Below are 16,205 nucleotides of genomic sequence, written 5' to 3' on the forward strand. Positions count from 1 at the left end.
ACCTTTCCCAGGCCCAGCTCGACCCCATCACTGCTCTGCACAGACCATGACCACCAAGATGGCCTGCAGCTGCCAGGATGTTAACTGCAGCGGGACTGCAGACGGGTTCTCAGCTGCATTTTTCCTATGCTGAATACGTTACTTTTGTAACCAGAGAGAAAACGTAAGATTGTGTTCTTGCTGGGGGAGGTGTCCCGGGGTTAGCATTGCTGGCGTCCCACCTCTGCTTCAGACTATGCTGCGTGGCCCACCCACCTCACCCATCCCCAGCCCCTCCCTCAGGAGGAAACAGGCTGCATTCTGCCGCCTCCCGGGGTCCCTGCTCTTCTGTTGGCTGTGTTGTCTGTTCCCTGGGCACAGGGCCAGCAGGTCTCACGCACAGGCACGTGTGCTGCTGGATGCTACTGAATGTCTGACACTACTTCACTCAATCGACGGTGAGTCTGTAGCCACAGAACGCAGTGAGTGTTTAGGCTCAGTTACTAACAAACAGACGCCAGTGGGACACTGTTGGTTGCCTTACTTTAATGCTGACCTAGCAGCCCCGACAGGAAGCTTTAACATAAAGCCTTGACCCTGAGAAGCATGGGTGCGTCTTGTCGTGAGCAGGTTCATGGCTGTGCTCCATCCTCAGCCCGCTGATTTTTGGTCTTTTGTCCTTTGATCCAGCAGTTCCCACGTGGATGTTGTACTGCTTCTGTCCTGGAGAAGAAGAGTGAGGTCCAACTCTGAGCAGACACCACGTCATGTGGCACAGGGGGCTGACAGGCGTAATCAGGTTCAGGGTGCCTGTTCCCTCACCGGCCTGTCCTAAAAAGCTTGCCAGGCGCTTAGAAAGGGCCCCACTACCTCCAGCAGAAGGCCAGGAGCTTCAAGGCACCTGCAGGAGGTGGCGGGGGCTGAGCAGGACCCACGTCCCCGTGCTCAGCGTCCCCTGCAGCCAACTTGGCCCCTCCCTCACGGCCCTCCCACCTCATTTTTTATGGGGGTGGGTTTCTCTACTCAGAAGCATGGGCAGGGCGCAGTGGCTCACGCCTGTAATCCTGGCACTTTGGGAGGCTGAGGTGGGAGGATCACCTGAGGTCGGGAGTTTGAGACCAGCCTGACCCACGTGGAGAAAACCTGTCTCTACTAAAAATAAAAAATCAGCCGAGCATGGGAGTGCATGCCTGTAATCCTAGCTACTCAGGAGGCTGAGGCAGGAGAATCGCTTGAACCTGGGAGGCAGAGGCAGAGGTTGTGGTGAGCCGAGATCACGCCATTGCACTCCAGCCTGGGTGACAAGAGTGAAACTCCGTCTCAAAAAAAAAGCATGGTCACGGGGGATGTCTGGGCCTCTGATGGCCCCACGTCCTGTTGACCTACCCGGCTCCTGGGGTGATGTCCCTGACCTTGGTGCGGCACTCACCTTGATGTTGATGCCGTGGGCAGTCAGGCCCCGGCGCAGGGTGTCGCATGCTTCCAGCAGGGGCTGCCTTTCTAGGAGCTGCTGCCGCCGGGCGTCCCCCGTGGCCTCGGGCATGGCCAGCGCAAACTGCCGGACCTTCTGCCGGAACCGCACCAGCTCGTCCACCACACCATGCAAGGTAGCCTCGCTGCCGTCTCCTGAAACGTACTGAAGCCAGCAGGGCGCGGTTACGTCCCCCGGAGACTGTGGATTGTGGATGCCCCCTCCCCACCCCGTGGTTGGGCTCTGGGCCGACACCCACCCAGCCCTGGGCTTCCCTGATTCCCTGCAGCTGGGCCTCTTTCTGGGTCTGGCAGGGATGGGTACAGCCCGCGAGCGCTGGGCTCTGGGCAAGGCTCCACTCAACTCTGAGCATCTGTCGTCCAAGCAAGGCTGAGTGATCCTCACTCGGGAGTTGGAAGAAAGGGCTGGGGGCTGCATGCCGCCCCGCCCTGAACACAAACGCTCCCTGGCTTCCAGACCTCACGCAATTGTGGCCGAGGTATCAGGAGCAACCTGAGGATGAGGCTGGGGGGCAGCGACTGAGCGCTTGCACACGTGTGTTTCGGCAAATGGTCTGAGATTCACAGCCTCAGGTGCTGAGGACGGGATTTGCGCAGAAGGCCTCGCGCTGTCCTCCCACTGAGAACAGATCCTGGGGCGGTGTGGAAGGGGCAGCTGTACCTATTTGTTAAATCCATGTGTGTAAAATAAGAAACAGACACAACATTTGACCTTGGTGTCAAACTACTTAAACCTCACACACCCCTCAGTTATTGCTTCCATGATAAAAGACAGTTTTTGTTATTACAGAAATATGAGCCCAGAGTGGGCCCAGACATTGGGCCTTGCGGCCAGAGGAAGGTGAATGAGATATCTTTGACAAGGGCTAGGCAGAGCTTGGCCAGATCCCACTTTTCTTACTCAAAACAGACTCCGGAAAGCCACCCCTAAAAATGAACATGTACATTGCAAAAACTTGGGTCATCTCACACCAGTCGACTTTTATGTGATTGGCAACAGACGCCGGACTGCTGGAAAGGGGAACTAAGTCTACCAGGTGATCAACAGGTATACAAATGAGCCAAACTTGGAAAAGACACTATAGTTCTCTGTTGAGAGCCAGCGAGACATGTTTGGCCCAGAGCCAGGCCTTCAGCACACCTGCTTGGGCCCCAGTCCCAAGCGGCGGGACCCTCGGGGTGCTGGGCAGCTGGTCTAGAGTGGCAGCCCCCGTCCAGGCAGCAGCAGCCGAGCCACACCCCAAAAGAGCCAGAGCGCCTTGTGCTGAGAATTCTACAAGGGTGTCCAAAGAATGACAGGGATGTTCAGGGACACAGCGCCAGCCCCAAGGGGCCTCTGTCAGCCACATACAAAGTGATGGTGGGGACTTTAAGAATAAGGCAGGAAACCTCAAATCTGTATTGATAGAATAAACGAGTTTCAGGTGAGCCTGATAAGGAAGAGGACATTTTCATAGGATCCAAGTCTCTTTGCAAAAATGCTCTTGAGTTACAACGGAAGAGAAGGAATGTGGAGAAGCCTGGCAGCGTCCACCTTCACTGCACAGCCAGGGTGAGCCTCGCTGGGAAGGTGCAGGTGACTCGTGCCTGTCGGGGAGCCCGTCCTGTCCGTACAAAACATGTGCCAGGCAAGGGGGCTCAGGTCGCCAACTTGCCCTCAAATGGGTCAGGAAAAAATGTTCTCTTACTGTGCCTGTGACTTCTGCACATTCTGAGAGTCTTTGAACATAAACGTGTGTGCAGAGCTGGCGACATTCTGTTGCTGAGATGGACTCATCTCTGGTTCTGCGCACGAGAGTTTGCCAACTGCAGAAGTAGAATTGTGCAATTCCAATTAATAAGTATTGGCTCTGAGTGTGTTTATTTTTCCAGGAAAGTAACATGTTTTTAAACAGGTAAATACATTAGTGTGGCATCATAATGCTCTATTCCAAGTTAAAAGGGTAAAGGTTATTGTCCCAACATGGAGAAAATTCCAGAATTAAGCATTTAAAATAATAGGACCTACCTGTTGATTTGCCAGAGAAATTCCAACAGTTTCAAAAAACTGTTCAAAGTAAGAGATGATGGCACCAAACACAGCAGGACTTCTCGGCCCTTCAGGTTCCTGTAAGAGATCATGTCGCAGAAGCTCCTTAAAAGCAGTCTTGATGGCAGTGGGCAAACGGAATTCAATGTCAAAAGACAAAGGCTTCAGCAGGTCACTTCAGTCTGGCCTTTCTCCTGGCTTCTATGGAGGGAGGACACAGCTCTGGCATCGGCTACCTCACTGCAGACCATACAACTATAGGTGCATGAGGAATCTCTTGTGCCTCAGTTTACCCATCAGTCATGTGGGTGGTGACTAGCTCATCAGGCTTCGCGGGTGAAGCATGACCGTGGAGTATGGCAGGTGGCGCATGGTAGGTGGAGGCTGAGTGGGCACTGGGCTGGGTTTCTCAGAAAACGGGGAAATCCTGGTACGTGGCTCACATCAGTTACCAAGCACAGAGACCCTTGGGTGACACTAGCCTTAGTTTGCAGGTGCCCCAGAATTGCAAAGCTTGGGAAGGAAAAGCGCAGGACAAAAGCCAGCCTCTTTACTTGTCCCGCCCCTTGCCACAAGAGGCCCCTGTTGCCCTAGAGCTGGGCCAGCCTGGTAGTGCCGGCAGCAGCTGCGGTGAAGGCAGGAGGCCGCGGACGGGCTGAGGAGGAGGAGCTCCCGTGCAGGAGCAGCCTGGCTGCGGGACCTGCCCCAGCCCGGCCTGGCTGCCTTCAGTGCGGGGCAGCCTGTTCCTGCAGCCGGCTGTGACTCAAATGCCCGCCCCCCTCAGAGGCGAGCCCTGCGCGTCTGCAGTATTTGGACCGAAGGCACCCGGCAAGGGCACATGGCACCCTGCCCCACCTGCTGGTGCTCTGAAACCCAACACTGCACGCAGCCAGGGATGGAGACCTCCACAGAGATGCTCAACTAACAGAGCATGTGGCCAGAACCCCCAGGTGTTTCCAGAGGTGGGAGAGGCACAAACAGCCTCGGCTTCCCGGGTCATCAAAGGTCACGGGGCTCCTGACGCAGCGCCTCCCAGGGCCTGGCAGGGGACCCTCAGACGTGCAGGAACCAAAGCCTGCCGCCGCCTTCACGGTCTTTGTCCCACCTGCCAAACACTTGCAGTGACCCACGAGTCCAGGCTCAGACCCCTGGGTGCTTGGTGTGGTCATCACACTGGGGTGCAGATTGCATAACAGTGCCTTGGGGTAAATGGGTCTTTCCTTAAAAAGTTCCCCACAAAAGCTCTCTCTGTGAAAGGGCCATGAATGCAGTGGGGACATGAGATGTGTCCCCTGAGGATCAAGCACACAGAATTTCTCAGCCTCAGGGGCTCCTGAGAGCTTGTTCCCCAGGTGGCCCTGAGGCCCGGGAGGGTCAAGCCCCAGGCTGGGTGCCATCCCGTGTGTCAGCGGCAGACTCGGGCTCCATGAGTTCCTCCACAGAAGCTGCGGGAGGCGAAATCAGCAGAGATGCCACCCAGCCGACATGAGAAAAACCCACCAGAGGACCCGACCCATGCCCCTGGCAGCAGGACCGCAAGGCCACCTGTTCGTTGAGCTACCTTCAGGGACGCCCTGAGCTGTCCATTCCCGTGGTGTGCAAGGCCCAGGATGGCATCAACCACCCTGGGTGTGTCAAAATCATCTGCCAAGGCCGCCTTCACGGCCCTCTTGGTGCTGGAGAGCCTGAGGGAAGAGGAGAGAACAGTCACAGCAGAGGGAGCTCCACTCTCCCCAGGCGGCCCCCACACCAGTCCTTCCCCAGGGAGAGACGCTGGGGGCTCTAATCTGGGGACTTTCTCTAGGTCATATTCCCAAAGACTTGAGTTCCTGAGTAGCAGAAAATTATGTAACATCAACTGCAAACTGTCATGTTACCCCAAGAAAAAGTCCCAGAGCAGAGGTCACCTGTGACACTTAAAATACAAGACACACGTGGGCATTTTCATGATGGTTTTAAAAATCAATAGATATTGAGGGGAGTGGCAAGGAAGACTCGGTGGGGGAGAGACGGCACGGCTGACCACTCACAAAGAGAGGCTGGGGAGGCCCAGCCCGGGGCTCCCGGATCTCAGCCTCCCGTGGCCACTGGCTGCCTACCCTGCTGAAGTGGCAGGGGTGGGTTATCACCAAGACCATCCGGAAGACTCTGCATGCCGGGATGAATGTGCAGCGCTGCCCAGGACACCCGTGGGTGGGGAGTGGAGGCGATGCTGTGGGCCCAGGCCTGTGTGTTTTATAGATTTTGGCTCCTCACAGTCAGGACTGGGAGGGATGAGCAGCTCCGCTCCTCGCACAGGGAACCCGAGCCCAAAGCCACTCTGAGCAGGGGGCTCAGAGCCCGAGGGCCCCAGGCACACTTCCTGCCAGCGCCGTCTCCCTGGGATGTCTCGGGAGCCCCTGACCCCACACCTCCTGTCCAGCACCCAGTGTCCTGTGGCCTCTGGGGAGCCCCTGACCCCACACCTCCTGTCCAGCTCCCAGTCCCCTGTGGCCTCTGGGGAGCCCCTGACCCCACACCTGCACCTCCTGCCCAGCACCCTGTCTCCTGGGGCCTCTCTGGGCAGTCCCTGACCCCAAACCTCCTGTCCAGCGCCCTGTCTCCTGGGGGCCCCTCTTCCCCTTCAAGAGCCCACCAGCAGCACCCAGCAGGCCACAGGAGGGGTGCCACGCCGGGTGCTAGGCGGGCCTCTTACCTCTCCCACAGCATCGCTTCCCTGACGGAGCCGCAGGCCAGCTGCCCCTTCATGTAGGCACGTGCGTCCTCCAGGAAAGAGCCCAGCCCCAGGAGCAGCTGCTGAGCTTGGAGCATGGCGCTGTCACTGTAGTCGATGGCTGAGGAGGAAGAGATGGTCACTGAGGCGGTGCCCACCATGCTGTGCCCCTGCCCTGGTCCAGCAGAATCAGTGTTTTCTGAGGGCACTGCCACCCAGGGACCACACGGAGAGCGGGACATGTGGCTCTCACGCCCTCCAGTGACCGCGAGTCCCTAGGCCCACTGGACACAGACCACAGGGTCTGTCCCAGCTCAGTGGCACCTGCCGTGGGAGAACAAGGTGGCGGTGGAGACATGCTCCCAGTGCTTCCAGCCAAGAGGTGCATTTCCACTGACTGGATGGAGGTGCGGATGAATGGCTGGCTCTGGAAAGAAGGAGCCCCGCCCTGGATGGATGGAGGTGCGGATGAATGGCTAGCTCTGGAAAGAGGGAGCCCCGCCCTGGGGTCAGAGGCACCTCTAGGGAAGGCCCTCCCGAGGGAAAGTGCCTGTGTGTGATGGGACAGCCCAAAGAGGGAGGGAGGAGCAGTCCCCAGACCTGGCTTTAGAGTCTGTGGGTGTTTCTTAGGCCACCTGGATGAGGGGCCAGTGTTTCTGTTTACATCTGTTCATTTCTTGTGGTTTCTAGTCTACTGCATTCTGATGGGTAAGACAACAGGAGTGAATCGCTTTGCAATGATCACATATCCTTGGATATCAGCAAAGCCAGCCACATATTTCTAGAACCTTCTCGTGCCTACTCTGTTTCCCAGGCTGTCTGAGTCCACAGTCCATGCTTTTGAGGAGTGCTGCTTTAAACAGCTCTTTGAAAACCACAAGAATAAAAAGAGCCTATCTGGACACATATGCTGAAAATTACATCTCAACATGCCTCCAAGTCCTGACTTCAAAACGAGAATTCCAAAATCAGACATGGCTTCAAGCTGGAAGCAACACAGTGAAAACCTCCCCCAGGGCTGTCTAATATCTTACTTAACATTTTTCCTTTTTTTCTAAATTCACTTTCAGTTTTTGCTTTGAATAGCTTGATAGAAAAGAGAAAAAGCCAGAAACCCACAAAGCGATCTGACAAAATTTAAAGATAATATTCGGGGACTGATAGAGTTGATGCATGGGAGGCTGTTAGAATAAGATTACCATTAATGACACAGCAAGATGAGGCATCCAGATGGGGAGGGGCAGACAGATGCCCAGGATGGAGACGCCTTCTGCCTCAAGGTCAAGGACAGCTGCATTTCTCCAAAGAGGATTCTGCTCTACAGATGGGAGACACTTCTCCAAAGTGTCAGCGCAGCACAGACTGCAAGGGATGCCACCACCGTCCCCCTCCATCTTCCCAAAGGTGAAGAAAGAATGTCTGGGAAGATCCCGAACTCCCACACCATTCGTGGATGGAAGCTCAGACAGCAAGCGACGGCCCAGCTCCTCAAGGCCACCTCCGACCTCGGCGGGGTGGGGCAGTCGTGTCCACTGTGGGGATCCACGTCCTGACTAACCTTGTGTTCCTAGAAATCCCTCACTGGCAGATCGGTGCCTCCTGAATCCCACCCAAAATTCCCACTGGGAATGTGTTCCTGAAAGAGCTGCCCAGGCTTGAGAAAGCCTCTTTTCAGACCAAACTTCGTATTCAAAGCTCAAAAAGAACTGCACACAATTAGGACAGTCATACAAGATGCTGCCCCTAATCCTGCCACAATCTGCGAGAAGGGAGGCGGGGCTTCCGAGGGCAAAGTGCCCCTGGGAAGGGATCCGCAGGGAACAGCTTTGAAAGGACCACAGCCCCCAGCCACGAGGGGAGCAAGCACGAGCCGGGAAGAGAGCTCTGCGCTCGCACACGGGATTCATCTCCGCCGCCTCTGCCCGTTTCCAGCAACACGGAGCCAGGCGGAAACAGTTTCTCCAGCCCATTCGCCTCCCCGACTCTTCCTCTCACGGCACGGCTGGGCTGCTTTCATCACGCGTAAGTGCACACCACACACAGATGCTGCACGAGGCCAGGCGAGCACGAGGCTGGCCACACTTCTTTCTCAAGCTCGTGCGCCCGTGAGCGCAGGTCCCCTGGGCCGATGCACTGCAGTTCCACCCAGGGGAGAGGTTCAGACCACGTCTCAGAAAACCTGAGTTTGCAGTAGAAAGCCAACGACGTGGCGTCAGAGCCAGGATAAAGACATGGCCCAAGGTAGCCTTTCGGTGGTCAAAGGTGCAGGTGTCTGTGTGCCCCTCTCACGCTGACAGGAGCTGCAGGCCGGGTGAAATTCTGCAGGCACAGCACAGGGGAGGGAGATGGATAGGGGACCAGCCCAGGGGCTCACCCAAACCCACCAAAGCTTTGTGTGTGACATAAAGTGTGCTGGCCAGATAGATTCACCCCATGGGGGAATGAGAATAAACTATGTTTCGGCTGCATGTCCCCACTCCCATCGTCTTCATTAAAAAGGTGAAATCATCAATTTGGAGCAAGAGAGCTACGTAGGAGGGACAAGAAGGGGGAGAGGGAGGTGGCATGACAACAGCAGCGACCCAGGGCCTCGGCAGTGTCAATGGAGCAGAGGGGACACCAGAGGCCAGAAGGACAGCAACCCTCGCTCACCAGGAAGGAACTGTCACCATCTCCAGAGGACACTGGCCCTGCTCCTGCAGCACTAGCCATACACTGGGACCTTATTGCCAGTTAGGTGGTCAAGCCAGGCAGGGCAGTATCACTGTCCCCAGCCCTCACTTGCCACCAGGGATGCAGCTCTGGATAACGACTTTTTTTTTTTTTTTTTTTTTTTTGAGACAGGGTCTTGCTCTGTTACCCAGGCTGGAGTGCAGTGGTGCGATCTCAGCTCACTGCACCTCCGCCTCCTGGGTTGAAGTGATTCTCCTGCCTCAGCCTCCTGAGTAGCTGAGATTACAGGTGCATGCCACCAAGCCAATTTTTTTGTATTTTTTTCAGATGGAGTCTTGCTCAGCCACCCAGGCTAGAGAGCAGTGGCATGATCATGGCTCACTGCAGCCTCTGCCTCCCAGGTTCAAGCAATTCTCCTGCTTCACCCTCCTGAGTAGCTGGGATTACAGGCACACATCGCCATGCCTGGCTAATTTTTGTATTTTTAGGAGAGATGGGGTTTTACCACGTTGGCCAAACTGGTCTCGAACTCCTGACCTCAAGTGATCCACCTGCCTCAGCCTCCCAAAGTGTTGAGATTACAGGTGTGAGCCATCGTGCCAGGCCTTTTGTATTTTTTGTAGAGATAAGATCTCACTATGTTGCCCAGGCGGGTCTCAAACTCCTGGACTCAAAACATCTGCCAGCCTCGGCCTCCCAAAGTGCTGGGATCATACACGTGAGCCACCATGCCAGGCCAGTGCTAGACAACTCCTGGCCAAGAGCCTAGCCCGGGGCAGCAGGTAACTGTGCAGCATGGGAGGAACCGTCATCACCCATCCAGGAGACCTTGCTCTGCTACACACCGTTCGGGGAAGTGCTGCCCCTGGGCAGGACAGGCAGGGTCACGTTTGAGGGCTCCCATGTTCAGGGGCCGTGCCAGGCTGGCCCCTTCCAATCTCCCAGTTCACACAGCAGGAAGCCGAGGTGCTGCGGGTTCACGACTTGTCCAGACCCAGAGAGAAGGAGTGGAGAGGACTCGAGCTTGACGAGGAAGCCCACATCCACTGTGGGCCGGGCCCAGACCAGCACTGGGATCCCTCGTCCTCTGGGTTCACTCTCAACCCGAACCGTAAGGCACACAGCAGCCTCACTCAACAAGGTTCTGCTTATTCTCTGGCCTGCATTTTGCTGTTTTCAGTCCTGTCAGAATGACTGTCTCCGAGCTGGGGGGGGAGTCCACTCCACGTGTGCTCGGCTCACCTGAGCGGTAGCTGCTCCGCAGGCAGAAGAACCGGAAGACATCGGGGGAAAAGGTCTTCAGAAAGTCCTGGTAAAGCGAGAGACAGGCAGTCACGAGGCTTTGCTTTTACGCTTCGCACTGTTCAGAGAATATGTTACTTTCTACAATTACATAAGTTATCTCTACCTATCAAGAAATCAGGAACCTTGATGAAAATGAGCCCTCCAAACTCACAATTACCACCTGTTTCCTGGTGATTTCCTCACTGAACTTTCCACGTTCGATCTCAGTATTTGTGGAAAGAGCAAGAAGAGAAAGCCGGTTTGCACTGAAAATCCGCACCTGCGCAGGCTCCAGGAGGAGTGTGTCCTGTGCTCAGCCTGGGCTCTCTTTCTGCACGACAGGGACGTGGGACAGACAGCATGGAGCGATGCTGTGCTCAGGAAGAGACCAGGTAGGTGGCGGGAGGCACACCAGCTCTGGCCTGCCTGCAACCCCCAGGAGAAGCTTGCGGTGAACGTCAGACCCGGCTGACCTCCAGCTCAGCCCAGCCAAGGGGCGACAGCCTCACTCATCCTATTTGGTGGCACAGTTCTTGTAAACACTGGGCTAAAGCATGCGCTAAGTCTGTCTCTTGAAGACTAAACCACCCAGCTTCTGGTTAAACCTAAGTAAAACTCAGAACCCAACCGGTATCCTCCTATAGATCAATTAGAAAACGTCTGTCCAGAAAGAAGTGGAGCTTTCTACATGAGGAAGCTTAGAAGAGGTCATTAGAGGCACTGCAAAAGCAGCTCAGCCCTCAGCAAAACCTCCTGTGGGGCGCTCAGGGTTCAGCTCTGGCAGCTACTTTTAAGAGATGAGATGAGTGGGGGAGAGAAGGAAGAGGGCTCTGCCCAGCTTGGGCTTCCACTGTGGCCCCAAGAAAGAAAGCCGAGCTCCGACTGCACCCCTGGCCAGGGACGCGCTCCGACGGGAGCCCGAGTGGCTCCTTGCCTGGATCTGCAGCACATGGTGCCGGCTCTGACCAAAGCCCCCTTTCCTGCCACCACCTCAGAAGACAGAACTGGCTCACCCCATGCCTGTCCACTGCGCAGGAAGCTGTCGCTGACCTTGCTGGAGTGAGAATTGCGTTTCCGTCTCCCTCGGGTAAACCCGATACCCTCTTCTCTAGGCTGATGGGCAGCAACACAAGCCCAGAGCACAGGGGCTGACACCAACCCACAGTCTGCACCCGCTCATCAGAGCTCAGATACCCACTTCCTCTGCAGGGTGGTCGTGGGAGCACAGAGCTGCCAGGGAGAGTGAGCCGGAAACGGCGGAGTCCAGCTCAAAATACTGCATCACAACACATGGTATTTTATGAGGCATAAAAGACCAGTCTAAGGCCGTGCTGCTCAACAACCCTACTGAGAGCAAAACACACACAACTGAAGAGCGTCTTGGGGTAGAAGGGGCTGTCCCTGCTTCAGGCTTCAGCGGCCTCGCCCACCCAGTAGAAAGGAGGGGGCTCCCTGGACTGCTGAGCTGGAAGGAGGAGGACACTGCTCCACCTGCCTCCAGGGCTCAGTCCCTTCAGAGGATGGAGCAGGTCTGGTCTGTCTTCTACCAGGAAGGAGCTCAGCCCCCACCCCACAGCCCAACTCCTGTCTGCCTGTGCCTGAGGCAGTGAGGGGCATTCTCATGTGGGGTGGCGTTAATCAGAAAGCTGCTGGGCCAATGCCCTAACACAGGGGTGCTCAACCTGGGGTCCACAGACCTCCTAGGGGCCCACAGAGAGAAGGTGGGAGGGCGGGGAGATCTGTGAACTGGGATGGTTCAACAGTTATGTGTTTATTTCTGCCAGCCTTGCACCGAAATGGGTATTTCCTTCGATGGTCAGTGTAGGCAGCAAACGCATCTGGAAGCACAGAGCCTGGCATGGTGGCCACAGCTGCCACAGGTGACCCCACAGGGATGACATCACACACCACAACTCACACGAGAGGATGGCAGCCATCAGACCCCACCCACGCTGAGCTAACCGCTGAGTCAAGCAGAGCCCCCGCTCCTCTACTTCAGTATCATCAACGGCCTTTGGGATCCTATGTATTTTATTTTACGTATTTAAAGCAAATTGTAAGGCTGGGTCCACAGACTTCACCAGGCTGCCACAGGGGCCTGGGGTGGGGAGGGGGGCTGGGGTATGTGTGTGTGTGTGTTTGTGTGTGTGTGTGTGAAGAGCCCCTGTCCAATCCAACAGTAGTTCATCAGTAATCACACTGGAATTCCATTTCCGTCTGTCCATCTCCCGGGTGCTCCTTCCCAAATTGTGAAAAAAGGAATATTACTCCTGGGTCCTCTAATTCGCAACTCGCAGGCTTACTTGACACCCTCCCTCACCCGAGGTGCTGTGGTTCCAATTAACGCACACAGCCATGTCCTGCCGGTTTCAGTTCAGGTTGCGCCCTATTTAGGTCTCCGGGTTTCGGTGTGGAAACACCACTCCACAAGCAGCCTCCACGCTCCCCACTTCATTCCAAAAACGATTTCACCTGGCTTTCTCTCAAAGGGGTTTTCCTCTCAGAATGTAAACGCATGCAGAATTAGCCTCAATGTGTTTTCACGCATCTCATAGTTCTCTGAAACCCCAACAACATTAAAGGCTTATCTTCCCTGCTCTTGCGGGGGCGGGCGCTACTGCAGCGAGCTATAGTAGTAGTTCTAATAGAAATCTGGAATCTAATCTTTCTAGAGCATTGAGTTTATACGGACTAAAGGAGAAACATATTATAACTTCTTCATTACACAGTATTCTGACAATGATGTGAAAACTCTTGAATACTGTGGGTGCACACGGACATTAATTTTTTAGCGTGTTCCTGCTCTGTGCCGGCTGATATCAGCAAGTTTCTATACTACTCCGGTTCCACCGTGCAACCTGCCACGGCTCCCTGAGAGGCAAAATGTGGCGACGGCAGTGTAAGCTCGTGCTGGAACTCTCCAGGAGGTAAGCAATCTCCCAGAGCCCAGGCCGGAGGACCGGATTGGCCTTCAGGTGGGGATGGTAACAAGCCATGTGAGCCCCAGTGAGCTCACGAGGTAACAGGGTGCACACTCACAGGGAGCCCGCTGGGTACACATGCCAGTTGCCGAGGGACTTCCTATGATGCCAGCGCTGCACACACCCCTGGAGCCCCTGGGCAGAAGCAGGCACCAGAGCCTCTCTACTGGGCCAGGCCCTAGCTTGCTTTGAGACGTACAGTAACTAGAAAGCAGGTTTTAAACCATTATCTGAGCTCCAGGGTTGAGCTCTTTCTACGTGGACTGTGGCCTCCATTACGCAGAAAGCATTGGGTTTTCACCCAGGCTATCATAAAGGTCTATCAGTGGTCTCCAAGACAAAGAGGACTGGCGGGAAAGGGTCTTATGCTAGAAACCAGGAATGTGGCAAGTATTTTTAAGATGTAGGGCAATAACTTAACATCTCCAAGGAACTATGGGCTAGGGTAGGTGCGAGCTACCAAAAATATAAATGAAAAATCACCAGTAAATACATATAGACAAATCAACACAGCAAATAGACAAACGCATGGAAATTTAAAATCTAGTTGCCATTCTTCACAAATTAACAAGAAAAATGGGCCAGGTGCCGTGGGTCACACCTGTAATCCCAGCGCTTTGTGAGGCTAAGGCAGGAGGATTGCTTGAGCCCAGGAGTTTGAGACCAGCCTGGGCAACATAGTGAGACTTCGTCTCTAGAAAAAATACAAAATCAGCAGGTGTGGTAGTGCATGCCTGTGGTCCCAGCTCCTCAGGAGGCTGAAATGGGAGGTTTGCCGGAGCCCACAAGTTCCAGGCTGCAGTGAGCTAGGACTGCACCAGGTGCCACTGCACCAGGTACCCAGGTGACAGCAAAACCCTCTCTCAAAAAAAAAAAAAAGAAAAAGAAAAAAAAAGAAAAAGAAAAAAAGGAAAAAAGGTAACCTGATTAAAATTCTAATTTGATGCTGGAGAGACCTGGGAAACAGACATTTTAATCTACTGCCAGTAGGAATGTAAATCACACTCGTTGATAAAGTCACCAGGGGCTCTATCCAAAACATTCCGAATGTGCCCGTATCTTCTGATGTGCGATTCTACCTCAAGGCACTTTTCTCAAGTCACTAATCATTAGATGTGCACAGATATTTAGCTAAAGGATATTCATCACAGCACTGCAGCCTGCAGAGTACAGGTCTCACAAACAAGCCCAACAACAGGGAAATAAAATCACGGTGCCTCCCTGCCATGAGCCACTAAGAGGCTGCTAAAAATAATGCAGACATGGCAATGTCTGTGAAAATTGAAAATGCACATACCCTAGTGGAAAATACAGTAGGATTTAAATGACCATCAATAGGGGATTCTTTAATTAAGCTGCACCCACACACTGGACTACACAGCCATTCGAGAGAATGAACCAACTCCATATGGTAGAAAACCGACTGAGGCCAAGAGATTAATCAAGCAAGCGCAAAACTACACGACTGTGTGTGAAGGGAAAGTGAGAAGCACAGCTATAGGGAGATGTGTGCACACACACACCTGCTCCGAGAAAACTAACCGCTGCTTCAGGAGAGAAGCCGGGCAACAGTGAACGTGGTCGGGCAGGAGGCCTGCTTTCCAGACTTAGTACCTTTGAATTTTTCTACCGTGTGGTTCTCTGTCTTGTCTGCAGTTTTCAAACTTTCTGAAATTAAACCCATCATGTCTATAATCAAATTAAAACCTCACTTAAATTGTTAGGGAAGAGGCGGCATGCATACGACACTGCCTCATGAATGAGACAGAGGAGAAAGGTTTATGTGTATTGGCCTATCGTGTGTAACGGAACACAGGAAGATGAATCCAAAACAGAGAACACAACTGTGGCTGCTGGGGAAGGAATGGGTGCAGGCGGGCTCCAGGCCAGCCTTCTCCATGCTCTCTTTAGTGTTAATGCTGAACCCTGCAAATGTTTCACAGATATGACAAATAAAAGTAAATTGGGACTGGATGCAGTGGCTCACGCCTGTAATCCCAGCACTTTGGGAGGCCGAGGCAGGTGGACCTGAGGTTAGGAGTTCAAGACCAGCCTGGCCAACATGGTGAAACCCCATCTCCACTAAAAATACAAAAATTAGCTGGGTGTGGTGGTGTAGGCCTGTAATCCCAGCTACCTGGGAGGCTGAGGCATGAGAATCACTTGAACCTGGGAGGCAGAGGTTGCAGTGAGTTGAGATCACACTAATGCACTACAGCCTGGGTGACAGAGCAAGACTCTCAAAAAAGACAAAACAAAAAGTAAATTGAAAAGGGGAAGAGAGAGACCACCACACTGGAAACAAACAGAACAAATGAACCTCTTGTGTTAATGAAAGGAGATCATTACATGCCGCGAGTGTATGTTCAGACCACAGAGCTTTAGTGGGGTGCAGTCCACGAGAAAAAGAAATTTCAGTCCAGAATAGGTGAATCACAGAAACAGAAAGTAGATGAGCGGCTGTCGGGGCTGGGAGGAGGTGGGAGTGAGAAGTGATGGCCCATGGATGTGGCGTTTCTTTTTGGGGTGATAAAAACGTTCTTAGAGGCCGGGCGTGGTGGCTCACGCCTGTAAGCCCAGCACTTTGGGAGGCCGAGGCAGGTGGATCACAAGGTCAGGAGATCAAGACCATCCTGGCTAACATGGTGAAACCCCGTCTCTACTAAAAATACAAAAAATTAGCCAGGCGTGGTGGTGGGCGCCTGTAGTCCCAGCTACTCAGGAGGCTGAGGCAGGAGAATGGCGTGAACCCGGAAGGCGGAGCTTGCAGTGAGCCAAGATTGTGCCACTGCACTCCAGCCTGGGCGACAGAGTGAGACTCTGTCTCAAAAAGAAAAAAAAAAAAACGTTCTTAGATAGTGGTCGTTTCACAACTGCGAATATCTTACAAACCACTAAGCAGTACCATTTAAATAGTATACTTATATAGTATGTGCATTACATTTCAATAAAGCTATTAGTTTAAAAAGAAATAAGAGAAGCCTTAAGTTTTACTCAATAGTTTTACTGTTAATGGTAATATTGGTATTAAGTTTTTAAATTTATTTTGTGTGTA

At 53.8% G+C, this 16,205-nt stretch overlaps 1 protein-coding gene across 12 annotated transcripts in view, besides 3 other annotated features; it reads right to left on the reverse strand.

The window, feature by feature from the left end:
* Positions 504-16,205, reverse strand: part of CARS2 (cysteinyl-tRNA synthetase 2, mitochondrial) — a 72,113-nt gene continuing 56,411 nt past the window's right edge. For 5 of the 12 annotated variants that reach the window (XM_006719953.4, NM_001352252.2, NM_024537.4 and 2 more), the window contains 6 exons: positions 10,128-10,194; positions 6,195-6,333; positions 5,061-5,184; positions 3,479-3,577; positions 1,409-1,615; positions 511-702 (listed from right to left, as the gene is read on the reverse strand). In XM_006719953.4, coding sequence (XP_006720016.1) covers positions 631-702; positions 1,409-1,615; positions 3,479-3,577; positions 5,061-5,184; positions 6,195-6,333; positions 10,128-10,194 — 708 coding nt within the window. In that variant the 3' untranslated portion in view covers positions 511-630. The other 7 variants (NR_147941.1, NR_147942.2, XR_001749667.3 and 4 more) reach the window with 7 other exon arrangements.
* Positions 8,182-8,681: an enhancer, noted in NCBI's record as "H3K4me1 hESC enhancer chr13:111301435-111301934 (GRCh37/hg19 assembly coordinates)". NCBI's record gives its function as "activates a minimal SCP1, AML or CMV promoter by ChIP-STARR-seq in naive H9 embryonic stem cells {active_cell/tissue: H9 hESC(naive)}" and the evidence as "EXISTENCE:reporter gene assay evidence [ECO:0000049][PMID:30033119]".
* Positions 12,425-12,514: a silencer, noted in NCBI's record as "silent region_5507". NCBI's record gives its function as "represses an Ori minimal core promoter by ATAC-STARR-seq in GM12878 lymphoblastoid cells {active_cell/tissue: GM12878}" and the evidence as "EXISTENCE:reporter gene assay evidence [ECO:0000049][PMID:35858748]".
* Positions 12,555-12,614: a silencer, noted in NCBI's record as "silent region_5508". NCBI's record gives its function as "represses an Ori minimal core promoter by ATAC-STARR-seq in GM12878 lymphoblastoid cells {active_cell/tissue: GM12878}" and the evidence as "EXISTENCE:reporter gene assay evidence [ECO:0000049][PMID:35858748]".

Source organism: Homo sapiens, chromosome 13 (assembly GCF_000001405.40).
Source record: "Homo sapiens chromosome 13, GRCh38.p14 Primary Assembly".
NCBI classification, from domain to species: Eukaryota; Metazoa; Chordata; class Mammalia; order Primates; family Hominidae; genus Homo; species Homo sapiens.